The 14,359-nt window shown below is 40.5% G+C and overlaps 1 protein-coding gene across 12 annotated transcripts in view; it reads right to left on the bottom strand.

Moving 5' to 3' along the window:
- Window positions 1-14,359, bottom strand: part of RASSF8 (Ras association domain family member 8) — a 121,658-nt gene that overhangs the window by 92,943 nt on the left and 14,356 nt on the right. The window contains exon 1 of one of the 12 annotated variants that reach the window (NM_001164747.2): window positions 13,060-13,192. The exons of the other annotated variants lie outside the window; for them this stretch is intronic. The gene's annotated coding sequence lies outside the window, so the exon portion shown is untranslated. Of the gene's footprint in view, window positions 1-13,059; window positions 13,193-14,359 lie in introns of those variants that run through there. 12 annotated transcript variants of the gene reach the window in all.

Below are 14,359 nucleotides of genomic sequence, written 5' to 3'. Positions count from 1 at the left end.
CAAACAAACAAACAAACAAAAAAAAAAAACGGTAGTTCAATCCTGCCCCAAGTTACAAAAAAAATGGTAGCAATACACAAGTGACAGTGTGTACGAATCCATAAGAGGGGAGAAGTGGATAACGAAAGGAAATTAAAGCAAAGAGAAGAGGCAGCAAAAGAAGAGAAAGGCAGCAGTAAGTAACTAGGAGCCTTGTCAGGGTTATGAGAAGCCAATGGCCACTGGAAAGAATAGGTGAGACTACAAGAAACACATGGAAGGAGTCAATGAATGTCTAGTCCCTACACAATTTAGAGGGAAACTGGGTTAAGAGGAGCAGCTGAAAGAGGTGCTCTAAGAAGAAGTAAGCTGCTCTTGTGGGGCTTGAAAGCTGGGAGCAGCCTGCACATCATAGGCCTCAAAAGGGCACAGAGAACCTACAAGTCCTGATAGTCCAGTGGACCAAGATATGTGAGGTCATCCACCTTGTATGAAATTAAGGCTTCAAAGAGAAAACTGCCCTTCTCCTCTGTACATTCTAGAGGTAACACAGATAACAGCAAACATTCTAATATTAGCTCTGCTGTCATGTGAACTTGGGACAGTTATAACCTCCCTGAGCTTCAGTTTCCTCATCTGCAGAGCAAGTTCTTGGGAATAAGTACACCTGGTGTGTCTTTTAAAAATTGTCACTGGCAGGTTTCTATAGCCCTGTGAAGTGCAGGAGCCTGGAGGAAGAAGATCTAATTAATGTAAATCAAGGCCACACCTATCCTCTGGGTACATCTGAACCCAACTTGGGATGCTGGGAAGCTCGACTGGATATAAAAATCTCACCCCTTTAAGACTGAGGACAGACTCTGCTACAGGGTCACTGAGACCAAGAGAATCACTTGCTACAAGCCAGCATAGAAAAAAACTTCACCAAACACTTCACTTTTATAGCCCTGTGGGCCAAGCCACTGTTCAAAGTACTTTATGTATGTTAATTCATTTAATTATCTTAACAATCTCATGAAATAGGGGTTTTCCTTGTTTTCTGATGATACGAGAGGCACAGGTAGTTAAAGAACATATGTCCCAGGTGTCCCTGCTAGTAAATGACAGTCAGCATACGAATCCAGCCCTGTCTGCTGCAATCTGTGCTCCTAACCACACCACACACTGCCTTTAGCCAGGACTCCACAGCCCTAGCACTGCACTGCTGAAAGCATGCTCTCCTCCCCTTTTTCTCTCCCCCAAATATTAATTTTGGCGACCCCTCCCTAAATTCCACATCTGTAAGATGGGGATAAGACCACTTCCTTCCCTATGAAGTGGAATATTTTTATGAGAAAACACCTAACAACACTTGCCACATTGCAGATCCTCGATAATTGCCGATTTACTCATTTACCTCAAGTAATTATTATCCAGACAAATGCTGCCATCTGCCTACCCCTCCTTGTTTACACAGAGCTAAGGCCCTGGCCAGATGAACTGGACCCCTGCACTGCCATAGACAGAAAACCATACGATAGTCTCTGAAAGGCACCAAACTAAATTATCCTTATGTATTTCCCTTCGGTGGATACTACCTGAATCTAGTGATGCCTTCAGGAGCTGTGGACAGCAGAGGGTTTGTCTGATCCCAGCAATGAAAGATCCCTTGTTTGAGCTATAATTTGGTATAATACAGTAACAACATGACATAGGGTCTATAGTTACAGCATTAGATGCCTCCCTCCCACACACACACAAAAAACCTTTAGCAAACCATCACACTACAGAACATTTGTGGAACTTCTTGGAACTCATTTCTGATTGGTGCGGCAAAAAGTGCAATAACCTGGGAGTTAACAAAAGGTTTGCATTAAGCACTAGCAGGCCAATCCAGGGGAGTCAAAACCACCAATAATGAGAATGCGTGTGAATCTGCATCTGAAAAATGAAAGGCTCAAGACCAGGGTGGTGGTTTATATCACCACCCTGGATGCTTTCCTCTGGACACATTTCAGTTTGTTAATGTCCATAAAATTTGGCACCCAAAACTAAAAACAACTTTCCAAAAATGGTCTGATCAGCATAAATGATTTATTGCCTGTGTTAATCCTGCCTTGACTTTTTAAAATTAATTTTACTAAATGTTGAACAGGCAAAAGAGTACTCATAAAATGAGTAAGGTATAAACAAAAGGAAACATTCATGCACTCACAATTTTAAGAAGAAAAAGTTACCTTGAAGCTCCTTTTGTGACCCTTCTTAATCCAACCTCTTGTCCTCCACTAAAAGGTAACAACAATTCTCCTTAATTTTGTGTGTACCCTTGCCTTTTAAAAAATAGTTTAGGCTGGGTGCAGTGGCTCACGCCTGTAGTCCCAACACTTTGGGAGGCCAAGGTTGGCAGATCATGAGGTCAAGAGGTCGAGACCATCCTGGCCAACATGGTGAAACCCTGTATCTACTAAAAATGCAAAAATTAACTGGGCATAGCGGTGTGCGCCTGTAGTACCAGCTACTCAGGAGGCTGAGGCCAGAGAATTGCCTGAACCGGGGAGGAAGAGGTTGCAGTGAGCCGAGATCGTGCCACTATACTGCAGCCTGGGTGACAGAGCAGAACTCCATCTCACACCTGTAATCCCACCACTTTGGAAGGCTGAAGCAGGAGGATGGCTTGAGCCCAGGGGTTTGAGGTCAGTCTGGGCAACATAACAAGACCCCATCTCTACAAAAGAACTAAAAAAAAAAAAAAAAAAAAAAAAAAGCTACGTGTAGCAGTGCACATCTGTAGTCCCAGCTACTGAGGAGGCTGAGGCAGGAGGATTGCTCGAGTCCAAGAGTTAGAGGGTGAGTGAGCTATAATCATGCGACTGCACTCCAGCCTTGGTGACTGGGCCAGACCCTATCTCCAGAAATAAATAAATAAATACATGATTGTATCCTTAAACAATGTACTACTTCAGTTTTGTGCAAATTTCTGAAGCTCATATGAATGGAATCATACTACATAAAATCTTTTAGAACTTGTTTTTCTGTTGTTGATGCACGAACTGGTAGTTCATTCATTTTCAAAGGTACAGAAAGGGCTGTCAACAGGCTGGCACACACGGGTATGGGTTGAGGCTCGCTGTTTATGGGCAGCAGCCACACTGACTGCATGGTGTCTACACTGTACTGGTTGTTCACTATTTTTAGTATCACCCCTGTCCTACGGTAATCCACTGTACAGATAAAAAATGCCTTATGCTTTCTACAATCCATGTTTTTTCTCCAGCTTTTTTGTTTTTTTTCTTTTTTTGGTACCACACAAAGTGCTCTGAACTATGCTGGACATGTGCTGGGTTGTAGGGTATACACATATTCAATTTTATTAAAATCAGTTTCCTTCGAAACTATGGTCGTAACCCATTGCAGTTTATAAAATTTCCTGGGTTGGTCCCAACATTTTTAATGAAAAAGAATAAATGAGAAAAGCCAATAGTAGAGAACATTACCTTTAGTAGAGAACTGATAAGATCAGTTTCTAGATACTTTGGCTTAAATCATACACATGTATCATATGCATACACATGTGTCAGTAAGTGAATTTCTTTCTGTGGGTCACAGTCAAAAAGCTCAGAACTATCTTCCAGTTGCTTAATTCTTGCTCTGGCTATGTCTAGTTTGCCATTAAACCTATTTGCTGGTTTTTAAATTCCAATTATATGTTTATTTCTCAAAGAACTATTTAGTTTCAGATTTTTTTTGTCATTTTTATATTCACTTGCAATTTACTCATATTTTTAACCTTTCCATTTCTTTAAAAGTTATTTTACATTCTTTCTGACAACTATAATATCTGAGATTATTACACACCTAATTCTGTTATCTACTATTTTGGCTGGTTCTATCGATGATGCCTTGTTTACTTTGTTTTGTGATTCCTGACTGTCATTAAAATTTCTTAAAACTTTTTAAACTCTTCAAGGCTTGCCCTGAAGAAAGATTCCTCCAAAAAGGACCTGCACTAGCTTCTGCCTTGTGCTACTATGGTGGAACCACTCTACAACTATATAATTTGCCTTTTCTTTGGACCACCTATAGGTCTAAATTAGAACTGAAAACCTCCATGAATGCTGATTATTATTGGTTATAAAATATTAGGCAGTTTTTCTGAGATTTTCTGCGGACTGGGAGGTGGTCAAAGGAAGTTATATTTCTAGTTCTACAATACACTATGAAAGTAGTCTTTAGGGGTCCCAGCTCTATGTGGAGACATTGTCTACTAAACTTTTTTCCCCATAGGAGGCTCTGGGCTTTGTCTCTTGTCTCCAGTGCAACAAGGGACCAAGAAAATTCAAGCTCAACGGGACTCAGCAAGTGCTCTCTAACCAGGTGTTCCCCTTATCTCTCTGATTTCTTGCTTTCACTTTCAGGCCAATGTTTGGTCTTTTATTTTCATGTTTTCTTGCCATTTAGGGATACATCTTACATAATTTATCCAGCATTTTTATTTATATTCATTTTTACTAGAGGAGTAATTCAGAGTATCTAGTCTCACATGCCATCAGAAACCAAAGTACACTGACATTCTAAACAGCCATTATACTGAGCTTCTGTTCAACTAAAACCATTATGTCTTTTTCATATGAACTATGTTGTTTCCTTATTTCTGCACTTGCATAACTACTATTTGTAATCTAAATGCAGAAATTCATATTCTGACCTATTCAACTTAGTCTATATTTTAGTCATTGTTTTAAGCTATTAAAGAATTCTCAATCTCTCATTTAAAAATATTATTTACAACTTCAAACTTTTTCATTCACAAACTTGATTAACATGCCTTCTATATTTTATTCTAAGTTGAAAAAGATGTGGAACACTGTATCATTCAGCATATAAATCACTTTAAGTTTCTAAAAAAAAAGATCCACCTGCAAAGTGGTACCCCGTATCTTCGATTTCATACCCCAAAAACGTTTGTCTGAAAACGTGCTTTTTAAAAATTCATGTTATATTATCTCTACTTCAGTATCATTTGAGGACGATTATTAAGAAACATATCCTTGAAATAGGGATTCCTATACCTCCCTCACACACCACAAATTAAATTTGATATAGACCTAAGAGCAGGTTAAAGTTAACAGGGAGGATGGCTTTGAACGCTGTAATACAGAAATAATCAATCATGCTTTCGATAGTGCTGACAAGTTAAAGCCCTGACAGCAACAGTAAAGATCATTCAGGGAAGGCTGAGAGTCATTCTAAGGTTTAGCCTTTGCTTTGGTGATTAATTTTACAAGAAACAGCAAGGTCATTCAGCATACCTGCCTCATTCCACCTCTATGAGAAAGGGACCAGCAACTACAAATCATATTAACATTATGCAGGGTGACCATACAATTTATCAGTGCATGGTAAATGCATCTGATAGCAATAACTTAAGCATACCCTGAGAATAACCCTGTATGGCAGAAGCACCTGAATATTCCAAGTTAGGGAATCCTGGAGTTGCCAACCAGGAGATTCGTTCTTTGTCTACGAGGAACATCAGAACCCCCAACTGCACAACCTCTGAGGTCTGGTGGAATGCAGGCCAGACAGAGGATCATGGCCCTTAGTTTTGGGTTGAGGGAAGGTTACCATATGGAGACTGTTGAGCAGGGGGACACTAAGTGAAAATGCTATATAAACTGCATGCTTTTGGGGCTGGTTCTCCTGCCCAGCCCACTGCCACTAGACTCTCTTCCCTGGATATAGGCCCCCAATAAAACCCCACGTCATCTCGTTTCCTGGCTCTGGGTCCCTTCTTTGGCCTCAGGAACCTGGTACCATCCCTGGTGGAGTCAAAGGGGTTCAACAAAACAATCATCCAGAATGAAAGGTCCTGTTATTATGCCAGAACAACAGGAGTGAGCCAGGACCAATCCAGCAAACCAGGACGCATCCGACCCTGATCATACACTTCCCTCTTTTAATAAAGCAACTGCCTCAGTATCTCCTTATACTGCCCATAAAAAGTACCCACCCATTGCCTATTTTCTACTGGACAACAACCATAGTTTCAGGATAATATGCTAATAATGCCCCTCAATCCCCCAAAATATGTTTTGTTAAAGGAGACAGGATGATATACTTTTTCTTAAGAGGAAAGTGTTTAAGAAACTTATCTAAAACAATTACTGAATTGAAATATCTCATTCCATGAATTTTTTTTAATTAGAGTGATTTTTAAATTATTCTTGCAATGACTCTCTCAACAGCCTTTCTGATATCCACATCCCTTCTATGGCTTCACCTGCTCATAGCTGGCTGAAATCCCTTCTCATAGGACTTAGAACTTAGTACTACCCCCACCCCACTCCCACCAGCTAACGGGAAGATACTGATACAACTGTAAAGCACAAATCCAGCTTCCATAAGTGTTTTGTTTGGCCAACATAGTGTTTTGATGCTTTTAAAAAATGGAAATCATCCCCAAAAATCTCAATCCCCGAAAAAAATCAAACCCTGTTTGGAAGACGCAGTCTCTGGAATTCCAGTGTTTGGTGAAGGCACAGAAATGATTACGGAGGAAGGGTCTTTCCTACCCCATGCAGAAAACATAGCAGTTACTGCATTTACTCTTTAATCTCTTTTTAAAATTAAAGATAATGACCATTTTGTTGTATATATGGCATTTATCTTAGAATAGATTACGGAAAGAGTCATATTACCCAACTCTAAAGCAAATATACAATCAAATTATGAGTATTACAGTATAATGGCCCACCTAGCCAAAGAACAACAACAGAAAGTTCTCGTTTGTGGGTTAAGTACCCTGTTAAGATAAACCCACTGGAGACTTAAAGACAAGGTATATTTGCTTAAATTGGTTTTTAACCATGGAGGTCGGTACTTAGAAAACCTGATGAAAGCAGAAGGAAGTAGTCCTTAAGGATAGGAGCTAGTTTCTCATGCCTAAATTTTCGTAACTACCACTCTGAATTTTGTCACTGTGAACCTCTATTTAAGAGTCACCTTTTCCAAGAAACCTTTCCTGATGCCTCCCTTCCTCTTCCAACAGTAAAAGCTGGCAGCTGCCTTCCCTACCTGCTACATCCTTCACCCGCTCCAGCAACTGAAACACTCCCTGTGCTGCTGATCCAGCTCCCCTACTGCTAGTAAAAATTGCTCAAGGGTATTGTCTCTGTTTCCCCAACACTTACACAGCACCAACAGGAACATGGGTACTCAACCTCTCTCCTCTACAGTGAAGCATCAGCATGGAATGTTAGTTAAAACCAATAATGGTGGAGCTGCCCTTGGCCTCGAATCCTAGCTCTGCTCCACTTCTTACCTATGTGAGTTTGGGCAAATTATTCTGTCTCAGTTTTTGCAGAAGTAAAATGGGGAATAAAAAAGCACAGACTTTCATGGGGTTATTGTGAGATTTAAATAAGTTAATACATGTGAAGTGCTTGGGACCTAGCACATCACACTCAAATATAGATTATAAATTATCTTTTTTTTTTAAGTCTCCAATTCTTCACAATCCTCAACTCAGTGCTAACCTCACTGTTCTTCAGAAAATCCTCAATGATTTCCTCGTTGCCAAAAATCAAGCCCTTATCTACACGATTTCCATCTCAGCTTTGATACTGCTGGCCAACTCTTTGTTCTTGAGGCTCTTTTCCCCTTTGTTTCTAGGGAGGGCACTGATCTCATTTTCTCTCTCTCAGCTTCTCTTCTTGCCTGGGGCCAGCTGCTAGAGCTCCCTGCTGCTTGATTCTCTCTTTATACTGCCTGGTGCAGGACAAGCTTATCTACTAGTTGGTCTTCAACTACCAACGTGTCCAATCTGTCTTAGGACTCATCATGTCGAATAAGTGATTGGAAGAATGATTGGGAATATCACTATTTCCAGCCCAAGCTTCTTTTTGAGCTTCTAATCTTTATTTCTTACTGCCTTCTAGGTAATATCCATCTAGAAGTGAACATACTACCGTATCTTTTTCTACTCCCTCAAATGTGCTACATTTAACTAGCATGAAGTACTGTGACTGCTGTCTCTCCAGATCTGGTATTCTATTAGCTATTAAATCCTACCTATTCTAACATCCAATAGTGGGCAAGAAACATCCTCTCTTCCCTATTACCATAATGAAATCCTTTCATTAAGGTTTTCATGCTCTCATTTTTATTACTGTGCTACCTTCTGGTCTCTCAGCTTCCAGTGTTGCTGGAGAGGCAGGGAAATAGGCACCTCATAAATAATGCCACCAGAATGACCAGCCTATAATGATCTGATCCCATCGTGCCCCTGGTTAAAAAAAAAAAAAATTAACCTACATGTACACATTTGAATACAATCTATTTACTAGCATATATTTAATGAGTGCCTCCCATGCTGAATAAAGCCCTGAGTCCCAAAGAGTTCTAATAAGAAACTGCTCCTGCCTCTAAGGACCTAGTTTGGCAAAAACTATTTTGTTGCTTATAAGGTGCACAAGCACATGCTTCTGTCTAACATCTAAAACACTCTGGACTGGAAATGAGATAAGCAATACTTATTAACATATTTATATGTAGTACATATATAATTAACACAATATCAAAAATTAATAAAGATAGGAATGAGGGAATGTGGCGGTTTGTGACTGCCACTGCAGGTGCTCTTCTTAGACGCAGCTGGCCAGTCTCACTTCCAGAATATATAAGGATGTTATATTTAGGCCCAGTCCTAGTCATTTAGGCGCTTAAAAATAACTTGATTTGACCTGAATTAAACAGTGTTCCAGATCGGCTTTCTGCATCAGAATCTCAGAAGCTTCTACATACTCAGCTAGAATGTACTGTATGGTTTTTTAAAAAATTGTGTTAGAAGAGTTCATCTTTGTTTCCACGACAGGACTGAATCCACTGTCATTAATAAAATGCCATCAAAGTGCATTCGCTCAGCACAGATAAGCAAGTGGGTAGAAGGGCCAGGCCAAGGAGTGACCCTCTCAGCAACAGGCAGCCACTGAGGATTTGAAAAGAGGAGTGTCACAAGCCCTATGCCCCATTTTACCACTAACTATGATTTTCCACTTCTACTCTTCAGTGACTGCTCTTTTGAAAGATGGTACAATGACCTTCCAAGTGTCTCTCAGTGTCAATCCCACCTGTCACTAGGAATTCCACAGACTGTTTGGTGTCAGTGGTCCTTAATGATAAAAACTAGTTATCTTTGCCCTTACTGTAGCTGCCTTACAACCGTGTTGTTCTCAATGGTAATTTTTAAAAGGCCAACTTGGTAACTGTTGGCAAAATCAAAGTATACTTGTAAAGCAAGATTCTTATTTTTTTTTTTTGCCTTACAAATATTTTAACTTGTATACTAAAGTTGGCAAATCATATTGCCAACTAAATTCACTAAATTAGTTACACTTAACTCTGTTAGCTTGCTGAATATCTGAAAAATGGAAAACAATTTTCCTGTTAAATACATGAGGTCAAGAACAAGAACTGCAATGATCTGGGTTATTTCCAGAAAAAAAAAATCAAAATAATCATATAAATGAAAGAGACTTAGTAGGAAGTTGGGTTGTTCCTTAAATAGAAGAAAAATGAATAAGATGGTTATGGGCAAACTACCATATAAGCCAGTTAGTTTCTCTCTGTGTAATGGTCACGGTTATAGCCCATAATCTCAGCCATTTCAAAATACTTAAGTCACAGCCCAACAAGGATGAATCCATGCAAACTTCTCAGTGATGCCATAACGACGTGGCTGGCGTGCATTCACTGGTAATAAGTCAGAATCAGTCAGGTGGAAGGCTGTGGTGTAATGACTTAATGGAAGGAAGCCTGAAACAAACAGGGTCATAATGACAATGTTGCTAATCTCATCTGCAGCTATTCGCTTAGGCTTTCTGAGCTTAATTTTCCTACCTATAAATTGCCAGACCTGATTATTTCCAATGACTGTTAATAATCAAATTAGATAATGGATACAAAAGTGGCTGAAAGACTACATTGTGCTCTGTAAAAATCTAAGGTGAGGAGAACCAACAATGAGGGGATAAACTGTGGACCAGGGAAACGTCTTAGAATTATAGGCTAAATTCACAACTTTCGTGCAAAACCAGGAGGTCCCAAGCATGTGGTGTTAGGCTTTGGGAGTAACACACTGGGCTTGTTCTTAACGCAGCAGGGGGAAGAGAGGCTGGAGAAAGTCATGTCACCGGTAGAGGGTCGTGACTCCAAGTTGTCCAGGTTCTTGGCATTTTGAAAAAAGAACTGGACAAAACGCCCAGCAAAGCAAAGAAAGAATAAAGCACAAAAGAACGAAGGCAGGGATTTACTGAAAACGAAAGTACACTCCACAGTGTGGGAGCAGACCCAAGCAGCAGCTCAATGGCCCAGATACTGAATCTTCTTGGGTCCAAATACCCACTAGAAGTTTCCCATTGGCCACTTCAGGCTCATCTCATGTAACCGAAGTGGTAGCCCACAATCAGTCTGATTCGTTGCAGAAAGCTGCCAACCAGAGGCTGAAGTGAAGTTACAAATGTCACATGCAAAAGAAGAAGCAACCAATCAGAGGCTAAGGTGAAGTTACAAAGTTATACTTCTGTGCAAACCAAGACTCCGCTGGTGTGGACAGCAACCACTCTGAGGCTGGAATGAAGTTACAAAGTTGCAAATGAAGACTCCACCTGCACTCAGTATGATTTGTTGCAGACAGCCAATTTCCCATCCTCCAGACAGAAAAGGTCAAATGGAGTAGCCTCTGGTCCTCTTGTTCCTTAAGCGGAGGGTTACAGTTTTCCTTTCAATTTAGTCCTAGGAAGTCGATCTGATGGGTTTTCCTTTCAATTTAGTTCTAGGAAGTTGGCATGAAACAGCCTTAGGTTCCCTGCCTCCAGACCCTATTCTCCTGCCTCACTGGCAGCCTGGGTGAGGAGAGGAGACCAGGAGACCTGTTCATAAAAGCCTACTGGCTTGGAATAAGGTCCAAAATTTCTGGGTGCGGCTCCTCTACACCTGGTTCCAATCACATTATGGGCCCCATTTCTGTCTAGTCTCATCCCAAGCTGACTGAGTCTAGACACTGTGCTGCTTCCCAAAGGTACTCTGTACATCCATGCTCCAGGGTCAGCCACCACCACAGTTTTCTGGCTGTGGTGGCCTCTCCCTAGGGCACCCCATCACCTCTCATCCACCTTTATGCCACTGTCCCCAGGTATTATTTCTTCTGGTCCTTTGGTCCTTGATCAGCGTGTACTACCTTCTAAATAGCTTCCTCTGTTTCTCCTCTTTCCTTTGCATTTATCTCTATTTCTAAAATAAGTCTTCTTAAAGTTCAACTTTTGCTTTGCTAGATTGCAAGCTTTTTAAAAGGCAGAGGCCATTTCTTATCTTTGTAACATCAACCACTACAAGTATTGTTCCTTTAACTTAATTCACATAAATCTTTGTAGAGTGAATATAAACACAGCAATCTCAATACACTACACTGGAAGACACTGAGCAGTATGCTGAACCCAGGTTATTCTAAAGCAATCCCAACATTCTCTAATCTAAAATCTGAATATGTCAAAATCTTAATTCAGGACAAAGACCGGAAAAGCTGCTTCTCATAACCAAGCTTGCTACCAACTGAAAGCTAAACAAACTCTAGTACAGCATGAACATCCTTTACCCTGGTGGGGTGGGTAAGTATTCCTAACCTCAGCTCCAGCCACTCCCCCAGCCCACTGTGCACATCTAACTTTAATGATATCGAGACTATTTGTTCTCCGGCAGACCACATTCTCCCTTATATCCTGTGCTTTTGGACCTGTTGTCCTGTTTGTATGGAGTGTCCTCCCAGAAAAAATGCCTTTCATCCTCAAGTCTTAGCTCAAACTGAACTTTCCTCTTTAACATTCCCTGATTTCCTCAGGTGGACTTAGGAAGATCTTTCCAGAAGCACTCACTCCCAACCCCACCCTGGGAACCCACATCTCTATTTTATCCATTATCACACTTCACAAATTATTTGTTTAAAGGCCCCTCTTTTAACAAAGTGTCTCAAAGATAAGATTGGTTCTTATTGTTTTTGCATAGCCAGCTTGCAAACACTCCACAGATATTGAATGAATGAATCACTGATGAATAAAGGCACCACCCAATCCACCGACATCAATTATCTACCAATAGCTACCCTACCCACGCTACATTCAGGGTTGAGTGCTCACTGGTCAATATGTCTGGAAGAGGCAGACAAACTCAGAGTGCAGCCCCAACACTTTTCACCTACCTGAGCAATATTCCCATAGAAACAATACTACCATAAATGTATAGGTTTGCAAGCTGGTACATCAAGCCCTATTCAATTTGAAAAATCTAAAATAGTTAAAGCTGTATTGAGGAAAATTAAGATTTCTACTTATTCAGATTCTACATTAGGAAATGCTGGGATTGCTTTAGAACTAACTTGGGCTTAGAGTATTGCTCTGTGTCTGCTAGTATAGTGCTATGGCTTAAAAAAAAAAAAAAAAGGTATTTTAGTAAAAGTCCCTGTCTGTTTTGTAGACTCTCATGGATTAAACAAAAAACCTAGCCATCCCTTGTAGGATAAATACCTTTGGAAAAACATGTTCCAATTCAATGTGGACTTCCACATTGCTCACATTTAAAATCAGAGGTTTCCTTTAAACAGAATCTCCATTCTCTTTGCAGATTAGCTGTGGCACTTCTCGCGTATTGGCTGGGCTTTCCACCTCCCTCCCTCTTCTTTCTTTCACCTCCTCCGCTTGTATGATCAGGAAAAATCAGTTTAATATTAGCCAAAATAAAACAATAATAAATAAATCTTCTAGGGGAAAAAAATTACACTCCATTTACATTGCTCCAACCTCAGTGGGGGCCTCAACACTGCTGAGCCCCGCTGCTTTCTCCCTGGACCACCGAGCTCACTGAGACCTTAGCCAACACTTGCCCCAAACTTCTCTGTTTTGCTCAAACTGCAACCTCAAAGCCATCTGTTTTCACTTCCTAATAACACCCTTCTCTCATCCCTCACTTCATAGAGAAATTTACAGCAGCCGGACACGGGTTCTTACTCCATTTGGGCTGCTTTAACAAAATACTATAAACTGGGTAGCTTACCAATAACAGAAACTTGTATTTCTCACAGTTCTGGAGACTGGGAAGTTCATGATTATGGCACCAGCGGATCAGGTGTCTGGCAAGGGCTCACTTTTTGGTTCACGGATGGCACCTTCTTGCTGTGTCCTCACATGGTAGAAGGGAACAGATAGTTCTCTTTTATAAGGGCACTAATCCCATTCATGAAAGCTCCACCTCCACGAGCTAATCACCTTCCAAAGGCCCCACCTCCAAATGCCATCACCTTGGAGGTTAGGATGTCAACATATGGACTTGAGGGAGACACAAACATTCAGACCATAGCAGGCTCCCTAATTTTTAAATGAAGGACCTCACTGTCTGGCAGTCTGTCTCACAAACTCAGCATCTCAAGTTAAGCCTCATGGTCAGTTTATAAGGAAGATAGATACCATCACATCCAGCTGACGGATGGATGATGAGCAAACTGAGGATCAAAGGGATTAAATGATGTGTCCATGGTCCCATGACTACTAAGTGACAAACAGAACCTGGTTATCCTAACCCTCAGTTCACACTGCATGCACCACATCTGTTTCAGTACAGTGCCAATTTATCTTCTCAATTCCCCTTCATATGTCCCACAGTCTAGCCAAACTGGCCAAATGAACCTACCCAAGCATTTTAACAAATAAACTAGCCTTTGCTTCTAAAAAAAAAAAAAATAGCGATCTTTTTATGATTACAGAATATTTGCTTATTCTGGGGAGACTGAGGAGGGAGGATCACTTGAACCCAGGAGTTCAAGCATGCAGTGGGCTATGATCTTGCCAATGCACTCCAGCCTGGACAACAGAGTGAGACCCTGTCTCAAAACAAAAAAAGTCATCCATAAAAAAAAGAATGAACAAGCTACAGTTATACGCAATATGAATGAATCACACAGCCTTGGGTGCCAGAAACCAAGACACCAAAGAGTACATGTTGTATGATTTCATTTATACAAGGAAAAAAAACAGTCAAAACTATGAGATGCCATTAGAAGTGAGGAACACAGGGCCTATGGAGATGCTGATAATGCTGTATTCTCGATCTGTGCACTTGATGCATGGATTTGTTCAGTGTATGAAAATCCAATAAACTGCATATGCATGTGCATATACATGTACACACAGACATAACATACTTGAAGTCAAAAAATTATGTTAATATTTTGGTATGTCTTCATTCTGGTGTTTTTTCCTTTTGGTATTACTGTTTTTAAAAAATACAAAAATTCTTATCACCTTCTGTGTACAATCTTGTATTCTCTCATTTTAACCTTATAAAAAGAAAAGGATTT

Source organism: Homo sapiens, chromosome 12, assembly GCF_000001405.40.
Source record: "Homo sapiens chromosome 12, GRCh38.p14 Primary Assembly".
Classification (NCBI taxonomy): domain Eukaryota; kingdom Metazoa; phylum Chordata; class Mammalia; order Primates; family Hominidae; genus Homo; species Homo sapiens.
Note: the sequence above shows the minus strand (reverse complement) of the source record. Positions and strands in the feature narration are given on the sequence as shown.